Source organism: Homo sapiens, chromosome Y, assembly GCF_000001405.40.
Source record: "Homo sapiens chromosome Y, GRCh38.p14 Primary Assembly".
NCBI classification, from domain to species: domain Eukaryota; kingdom Metazoa; phylum Chordata; class Mammalia; order Primates; family Hominidae; genus Homo; species Homo sapiens.
Window position 1 is genome coordinate 8,152,329 of NC_000024.10, and position 10,385 is coordinate 8,162,713.

Consider the following 10,385-nt stretch of genomic DNA (forward strand, 5'->3'; position numbering starts at 1 on the left):
CCTGACTTAAGCCCAGTCAGCCAGAAAATAATTTCTCCTAGCAGAAGAGTCAGGAAGAATAGATATCCAACCTACATGCAAGGAAATGGGTTTTCTATAAAGAAAGACAACCATGAAGAAGAGAGTTTCAGATGAGGAGTAAAGGTCTAATGTTCACTAAAAAAAAAAAAAAAAAAAAGTGACTTAAATAGAGCTGACTCTCACACCAGGCTTGGAAGAAACATTTTGCCCTGAAGAATGTATTCCTCTCTCAAAAAAAGAGTATCAGGTTGAAGAGAATTACAGCCCAGGGGAGTTGTAACCAAGGTTGTAATCCCTACTCAAAACAAATAAACAAACAATCAAAGAATAAACTTTGTGGAGCCTAATGGGAAGGACATCAATCTCTGTGCCTTCTTCCCTGGCTTCCTTCAGTGATTAGGGAAAGCATTTTTTCTCTCCCTGGAAAGATGTTTGAAGTCTTCAGGAGCTAGAAGAAAGGTCTCAGCACCCCTAGTCTCTTCTTCTCTAGCTTGCTTTAGTAATATATCTCTGAAATCTCTCCCTGGAAAGAGGCTAGAACAAATACTACCAAAAGCCTAAATGAGAAGAACGACAGTCACTGTGCCTTTTTTCACTTCTTTCAGTGATTTCTGCAATTATTCTCTCAAAGTAGGCTGGAGACAGACCCCTGTGAGCTAAGTAGAGACAACACTCCCCAAGACATTTTCTCTGACTTGCTCTAGCAAAATTCCCTGCAGTCTCTGTCTGGAAGGAGACAGAGAGTCAGAATACTTACAAGCCTAAATGAGAAGAAAAACACTTCCCACATTTTCTTCCCTGGCTTGTTCTAATAGCAAATTTCTGCCACCACTCACTAGAGAAAATCAGGGAGTTAGATCTCTGAAATCCTGAATGGAAGAGAGAGCACTCCCCTTCTATCACCAGACATAGTATGCTTGCTTCACAGGCTTGTTCTAGCAACAAATCCCACCTGCTATTCTCCCTGGACAGATTGTTTGGTAAAGTATAAATGTGACGGTGAACACTCCTAGGCCTTCTTGCTTTCTTCTCTGCCTTGCCACAGCAAGAAATCTGACTTGCAGATTCTTCCTGCAAGAAAGTTGTGTGACTTTGGCAATGCAGAATGAGAAAGCAGCCACTCTGCACTACCTTCTCCCTGGTGATAAATCAAGGTCTGTAGACCCTCCCTGGAAGGAGCTTCTGCATATATCATGTGTCACAAATTTTACAGCTTGTACCTAAGGGACTTGTCTTAAATTATCTACTTCTGGAAGTGAATGGGACTCTCTATTTTGAGTCTCCTATATCACAGAGAACAAGATTGTCAAAATTGTAAATGTTCAATGACTATCTGTCCAGATTCAGAGTAAGCATAATGAATGACTGTACAGATGTCAGTAATGGGCACTATTCTTGGCATAGGGCAGAACTAGTTGGACATAAACTCTGAATCTACGCTTCTCCACAAATAATATACATCTAATAGCAAAACCTTTTACCTGCATATCATGAGGCTGGCTACTATCTTGCCTATGCCAAAGGAATATTATGATTTTACACACCCTACAATCCAGGGGGCCATAAGAAGAAAGACAGTGAGTTGGACAATCACAGAATTGAGAAGCACCTGGAAACTCTGTTGCACTGTTAAGGAAATGAAATTTTCTATATAGGATGAGTTAAGGAAAACAGAATGATGGTTGTCTTCACTGACTTGCAGAAACCAACTCATAGTCAAGAAAAATGGGGCTGATGGTAGTGGGTACAGGAAGGCAGATGGCCAGGGGGTGCAGTGGAGAGGAAAATACATTCCAAGGTAGAGAACGAAAGAAATCAATAGATTCCTGAAATCAACAGGAATCTGATAAAATGAATGTATGTAATGTCCCTGACGGGGAAATCAAAACAAAAAGCACTAAGGTATTAACCTAAGTCAGGAGAGCAATGCATTTAAAAACTAAGAATTTTAACAAAGAGGTAGAAAATATTTCAAGGTATCAAGAGAAATTAAAGAAGTAAAAAATACAGGAACCTAAGTCAAAAATTAAACAGAAGGTCCAAATGTTAAACTGGATCAAGCAGAACAAAGGATAAGCACAATTAAATCAAGTCTTTGAAAATAATTGGAGGATAAAAATGAAAGAGAAAAATCAGGAATCATGAAGACAGCCTAAGGAACTTATGGAACATTATGAAGCAGGATGATAATGTGTGGAGTACTATAAGGAGAAGACAAAGATAAAAGGAGAGAAAAATAATTGATATATTTTTTATACAAATAAAAAATAAAAGTCTGGGCACAGTGAGTCACGCCTGTAATCCCAGCACTTTGGGAGGCTGAGGTGGGCAGATCAGCTGAGGTCAGGAATTTGAGACCAGCCTGGCCAATATGCAAAACCCCATCTATACTACAAATACAAAAAATTTTCCAGGCTTGGTGGTGGGGGCCTGTAATCCCAGCTACTTGGGAGGCTGAGAGAGGAGAATCACTTGAACCCAGAAGGCGGAGGTGGCAGTGGGCTGAGATCTCACCAGTGCACTCCAGCCTGGATGACAGATCAAGACTCCATCTAAATAAATAAATAACAACAACAAAAGGATAAAGATGGCTGCTAAGAGTCACTCAAGACTCACCCTAACATCCTCCACAAGGAAGGTCCAAAATAGCAAATAGATAACTAGGTATTGAATTGAACATCTTTGGGAGAATGCTAGAATTCAGCAGGGAAGTGACTGTGACTCTCTGAGGCATGAAAACTGGGGATGGCAGCAGTATAGAGAGGGACCAAAGCAGCCAACTGGAATTGGCTCAGAACCAAAAGGAATTCTCCACTGTGGAAGAAAGAATGACCACATTTGCAATCCTGGATGCAGAGAATCCCCTTGGCCCTGTGAGGACAGATCCTAAGCCTAATACAGAGACCTGCCTGATGTCCACACAACTATATTGTCCCAGAGAGGGAACTCATGCAAGACCCCATGCCCACAGAAGCCCTCACTGCTGGTGCATGGCCCACTGTTGAGGGTGATATTGGGCAAAAGGCAGTCTACAACCTACATTAGAGCCTTTTGCCCAGAGGTCCAATATCCCCTGCATCTCCATGTCCTGGGTCCTTGCTCATATGCTGTCTTGTCTGCACAGAGGCTTCAGTGTCACAGTGTCAGCTGGATGCAACAATGTGGCTGTGTCTGTGGTAATGGAAATCATGCAGCATCCTATACCCTAAGGAATAGGCATTCCAGCATACTTGAAAGGCTGCCTCAAAACGTAGGGAACAAAAATATGTGATCCATAGAGCATGGAAAATCCCTGCCTGAGGATGCTGCCACTGAGGCACCAACTCCTCCCAACCCCTCAGCAGCAAGACAACCACACACACACCAGTGAGTGTCACATCAGGACCCACAACCCAGAACCTAAACTGCCACTGCCACTACAGGCACCCACATGTACCACATGGAGGACCAAAGCCTGGCCCACCTAGGCCACAGCCACCACAGTGGGGCCCTTCCATGCTGCCTGGGACCCCTAAACTGACCTGCCCAATGCAGATGTCACAGCTGGTTTCTTCTGATGCTACCAAGGATCCTGAGTACAGGCCTGCCCAGCACAACCAAACCCCACCAAAGTTTCATCACAGGCTCTTAAAACAACTACAACCTAAGCCATTAAGGCACTCTCATACATTTCTGATATTTAGTGTAGCTAAAGAAATAATATTAAGACCATGCTATGCTACTTACCAAGAACCAAAGTCAAAGTACTCTGCCCAGTCGACATTATAGATGCATGTACAGGGAATAGTTTTGTCCCAGTGCTTTTCTTTAAACTTCAGATAATTTTCTCACATGGATATGCAGATTAACAGGCAGTGGAAGGCCCGCGTGAACTCTTTTGCCTCTCTGGGGTTTCCTTTTTGTGTAAGTCCTCTTTTATTTTCTGGCATTTTGCTCTACAAATTCTAGCTTTATTGGTATGGTTGAACTCTGATTTTAGTCTTCTCAAACTAACAACACCCCCTAAGTTATGGACTGGCGATAAGCAGGGTTCATTCTTACACTGTCTTTATTCATCTTTTCTGAGAAATTTTTGTTTGGTGCTGCCTGTAATTGAACGTAGAAAAATCTTTTGTTCATATTTCTGTCTAGTTTTATACTTATTTAACCTGGGAGGGTAAATATGGTCTCCATTGCCCCATGGTGGTTAGTGGCATAATGGGCCATGGAAGGCTTTCAGAAGTCGTTTTTGAAGACACAACACAAATTCTGTTTGCATAATGAACTTAGATAAAATATAGGCAAGAAAATAATGTTAGCAGAAAGAAGGCCCTACAGAAATCTTTTTAGCAAGTTGTGCAAATATAATTCAAATTTAGTTGAAACATTTGTATAAGCTTGTCTATATAAGACTTTCTGTGTCAAAGGAATACATACAGATAAAAATTTCAGAAAAAACATAGAAACTGGCTTATTATATTTTCAAAAATAATCCACATTTATTTTATTGTATTTTACTTTTTTGAAACAGAGTCCAGTTCTCTGGCCCACGCTGGAGTGCAATGGTGCGATCTTGGCTCTCTGCAAGCTCTGCCTCCTGGAGGCGATTCTCCTGCCTCCTGGGTACCTGGGACTACATGCGTATGCCACCAGACGTGGCAATTTTTTTTTGTATTTTTAGTAAAGATCAGCTTATGTCATGTTGGCCACACTGGTCTCATTTGAGGTACACCTGCCTCAGCCTCCTAAAGTGCTGGGATTAGAGGCATGAGCCACCTTGCCTGGCAAAAAAAAAAAAAAGAAAAAAATCCACATTTTAAAATAAAATAGAATACAACTTATTGTGGACATTACCATTTTTATATCAGTCACTTGAAAAATGGCACTTCTCTCAAATGAGTAATGTATATAGGAATCAATTTTGTAAAATCAGAAAATGTGCTTTATTTCTGGGGATTCTAGGCATATTAGATACTTTTGCCAGTTACATTTAGTATGTAGGACAAACCTATAGTCTGATAAAATTGTATTGACTTGGTAGAGTAAGACAGACCATGCCTGAGGGACAACTAAAGTAATAAAACTAGGCACTGTAGGATTTATGGGAAATGTGGTGAGTAGATATTTAGACAGAGCAGAGTTTCAATAGGTTCAAGGTGCAGTACGCCTGTGTATGAAATGCGAAAACATCATGTTTAGACTGTGAGAGAACTCAGTGTCTTTATTCCTTGTAGATCACAAGTTGACATTTGTGTGGAATTTTGAGTGCAAATTCTTGTTATTTGAAGCTATGTACCTAGAATGGAAATCTTTTTTTCTTCTGTAGAAAGTGACATACATCAGCCAGGCAAGAGTACTAAGTTTTATTTTTACTGACAATATTTCAAACTGCAAATACTCTGTTTATAATTTCAGAACATAAAGTTTCTCAGTGAGTAAGAAAGCAGAAGTCATTCAGATATGATAATTTTTATGACCCTTTATAGCTGTACCCAGACTTTGGCAGAAATATTGATTTCCCTTAAGTCGGGAGGTGGCTTTTCAGTTCTCCTCTCAGCATGATGGATTGAGATGGTGGATTTTATCCTTCTCAGCTTTGTTTTATTTTCTAACCTGTTAGAATTTACTTATCTCAGCATTATTGTGATTTCCAGTAACAAAGCTGAACTTGCTTGTTTATACTATATACAATTTAAAGTAAAGAAAACTACCACATTAGCTTCTACATTTCAAAATAAAACTCAGTAAAACTTGGTTATATTTATTACCATGAGTGTCTGTATGCTTTTACTACATTTGTATGCAATTTAATATAAGTAGTTTAAATTTAACATTAGTATTAGTGGCATCAACTATGGGTGCTCTTTTTAGTATTGGCTCTTTTTTGTGCACACTTAGGTGATTTCTTACATTTTGCTATTAAATATTGTTTCAGATAACTTTCTTCTGCATTCCTACTTTCCTAATGTACAAGGAAATTTGTAAGTAGGGATTTTATATTGATAGTAATACAGTAACACACATGTACATTTGTACGTGTTTAATATAAACAGACCAGTTAGAGAATATAAAGTGCAAAATAAAACAAGTAAATATTGCCCAGTTCTCAAATGATGAAGAAATCAGTCTTCATGGCAAAATCTTCAGCATGAAGTCATTTGGCACTCTACAAAATAAACAAAGGTCGGGAGATGTGGCGCAAGCTTGTAACCCAGCACTTTTGGAGGCTGAGAAAATCAGATCACAGGAGTTCAAGACCAGCATGGAAACCAACACCAGAAACCTTGTCTCTACCAAAAATATGAAAATTAGCCAGACATGGTGGTGCATGCCTCTGCAGTATCTTACAGTTATTTGGGAGGCTGAGGCATGAGAATGGTTTGAACCTGGGAGGCTGAGTCTGCTGTGAGTTGAGATTGCACCATGAACCCTAGCCTGGGTGACAGAGCAAGACTTCAACTCAAAAATAAACATGAAAATAAACAAATATGTAAATAATAGACAGGGTATCCTTCACTTCAGGCAGTTATCGTTTCTCTCTCTCTCTCTCTTTTTTTTTTTTTTGAGACAATATCTCACTCTGTTGTCCACACTGGATTGCACTGGCATCATCATAGCTCACAGCAGGCTTGACTTCCTGGGTTCAAATATTAGAGCCTCCCATTTCAGCCTCCTGAGTAGCTGGAATTACAGGCACACACAAACATGTGCAGCGTGTTTGTGTGAGTGTGTTCTTTTGTTTCTGGACTATATTTTCTTTTGAATCACACCTTTTTATAACCCAATCTTTCTATTCATTATTTTAGTTAATCTCTGGTTCAACTGCTATGTGCTTTAATATTAACTTTTTTTCATGAGGTAGCATGGGTTACACATTTGAATCTCTAGTATATGTAAAGTTTTCTTTCCACTAATTTTCCATGGGTTTGAAAATTTAGGTGTATGAAATTTTGGGTCATGCCATATTTTTTACCAGTAATTCTTTAGACATTGCCAAATAATCTGGAGATTTGTTTATAAAACAGACATGTGAGGCCAATTTGACCAGTGACTTGCATTCAGGAAAACTCTTAATTTATTTTTATGTTATAAGATTTTTTAACACATGAAATTAAAAAATTTGGCCAGGATAAGCTCAATGCCTCTCCCAGTTTGTATAAGTAAGGCTAACACAAGACCATTGTATACTGTGTTGTTTCTTTATGGCATTAATTTATCTTTCTGAATTATCACTACCTGTTGACCTGCCTCCTTGCCTCATAGGCTCCACTTGACTCTTTAGCCACATTAATGTTGGCTTTTTTTTTTTCCTTTGAGACAGAGTGTTACTCTGTCACCCAGGCTGGAGTGCAGTACCACGATCTGGGCTCACTGCCAGCTCTGCCTCCCGGGTTCACGCCATTGTCCTGCCTCAGCCTCTTGGGTAGCTGGGACTACAGGCACCCGCCACCACACCTGGTTAATTTTTCTGTATTTTTAGTAGAGACAGCGTTTCACCGTGTTAGCCAGGATAGTCTGGATCTCCTGACCTCGTGATCCACCTGCCTTGGCCTCCCAAAATGCTGGGATTACAGGCATGAACCACCGCACCTGGCCTCAATATTGGCTTTTTAAATGCTGTATCTTTAGCATGTTGCACAGTGCTTGATACAGCATAACTCTCAATAAATCCTGTTTCATAAAATTCCACAATTTGACACCATTTCTGTAAGTGAAGTCTAATTAAATCCATGGGATAGACATGTTAAGGAATGAGAATTAAGGGTCTACATATTTTTAAATAGAAAATTGAGAGAAGATTAAAATATTGGTGCAAAAATTGAAGACATTATTTGATAATGTTATTTAATATTTGATAACACATTATCAATATTATGAATGAACTCAAGTTGCCTTATCTTTAGTGCATCTGTTGACTCTTGCATGGATGTTTACTTCATTACGGTAACTTTCAGTGATTTCTGATGCTCTGATTATTTCTAGTAGGCATTGTCTTTCCTGGGAGCACCGTGCATTTTGGATGCTAGTACACACATGCATTTCCATTTTACCTCTGAGAGGATGCAAAATTTACTCTCAATACAGTAGATGCCCATCTGTAAAGTAAAAATTCGAATTGAGTTGCATGTGGGTAGGCTTCTGTTCCAATTGCTGACAGGCCACTCTGTCCCCCACCACCCCTGAGTGATATGCAGAAGGAACGCTGCCAACCATTCTCCAGGAGAAAAATCAGATCATGTCTCATAGTTTCTGAGTTTATGTGGTGGTTTTATGCCTTTCAAGATATGAGAACCTCATCTTGCACCTTAGCTGGGAATCAAAACTCATGATCTCACCCTGCAAAGGGTAAATCTGTGTTGGAAAACAGCCCACCTTGGCTTCAGCTCTAGCTTACAGCACGAGCTTTATGATCCTGTTTCATATCCCGCATGTGATTTTTTTGGTTCTACTGTGAATATTTAATAGTTCTCATTTACATAGCATTCCTATGTTTTTGGAGAAGTTAACTCTGCTGTATCAACTGGACATCTTTATATTTCCAGTGTCTTCCCAAATCTGTGGGCCGTGGTGGCACCTCCTGAATTAACCATTTAATAAATGAATAAAGCAGGTGTGAATACGCTATGAGAGTCACAGTGTGGATGTTCATTGAGAGGGTGGACAGTAGACCCCAAAATGTTTCAGGAAAAATAACAAGAAATAGTGGGAAAGGGGAGAGTATAAAACAGCAGACCCAACACTGAGGAATAATTTTTGTGACTTGCAAAAGCTGCCTGAGACCTGATTTCTGTAGGAAAGTATTTTTAAAATCATAATAGTGACCCTAGTTTTGCCATGTGGATGTTTTACTTATTGCGTTTTATTAAGGTTCTGTAGCTCTTCACTAAATACATGCTATAAAACTTCTGCCCAAACAAAGGAACATGTCATCAGAAATAAATAGTTTGGAATAGTGGAAATACCATCTAATGCAAATTTTTGGTAGCAAATTCCTTTCTGTAACATCCCTGGCTTGAAAAATTTGGATCATACTACAGGTGATTATTTTTTTTTCACAATCATGTTAGTTTTCTCCCAAATAGAAACTTTGTGTTGACTGCTTTCCAGACGTACCCACTCTGGCTAATTCTTATGAAAAGGTCTTTCATTGTTCAAAGAAAGAAAAATTCAACAAATTTCTCTGTGTATTTATTTTTCATTTGATAAAAAAATAGTTTAACTAACTAGGACATACATTCCATTCTCTCAGCCACTGTGGTAACAGACCTTTTTTTTTTTTTCCATCAACATTTGCTTAAGAGAGTATGAATGGCAGGATAGTACTTGCTAGGAAAGTAGATTATAAAGATAAATGTAAGAAGCCTTACATTATTTCCCCAACCAGTTCCAGATGTGCCTTTATGCCTATTATATCTCATAAACACCAGGACAGGTACACCAGCTGCTCTCTACTCTCAGAGGGCATGATATTTCTTCTCATTCTGGCACCAGCCACCACTTCCTAAGGAAAGAAACTCTCACAAGTCTGAAGTAAGCAGGTGGAGATTTCACCAGTGCTACAGAAAAAAGAGTAGGTCCTGATAGGCAGGTGGAGCTTTCACCAGTGCTATAGATAAAAGACTGGGACCTGATAGCTCTCTGCTGACAGTGTGCTTCCATTAAAAAAAAAAAAAAAAAAAAAAAAAAGAACTACAATATAAAAGACACGAAATTCAGACATTAAAAACAATTCTTTGGATATTAAAAATTGTAGTCTTCTGATATTTTATAACGGTTATATCTACTTCTCTTGGCAATGTTTCACTCAGTGGGAGTGAAAACAAAGGGACTTAACTCCCTAGACAGACTGAATAATACATGGCTTACTCGCTTCTATTAGTATGAACACTTTCTTTTTTGTTATTAAATTTTTGTACAATGCAATAACACAAAAGAAAATTGTGCTGCAGTGTATAAAATGTATGATGTGTTAGCTTATGTTAAAATCAGAAACACTGTTCAAGTGCTGTAAAAATATGAGATGTATATTATTCTTTATATTATGGGTTTTATTTTATCAAATGGTAAGATTAGACATTTTCTTTCTCTTAATAAAAACATAAGACTACACTTTCAAGAAAGCCTGAGAAGTACTGTCCTGAGCATCTTGATTTCTTGAATATTGGCCACAAATTACTATGTTACTGTTTGATACTAGAAAAAAAACATCCCAACACAACTCCCAGTAAGATATGGAAGTACATCATTCCAAGCTTGACAAACTACAATATGATGATTGCCTAAAGGGGATTCCAAATCTTACAGCAATTTTTTCTCCCTTCACACATATTAACTTGAACACTATGTTCAATTCCCATCATGAACTCACACATGAACACACCACA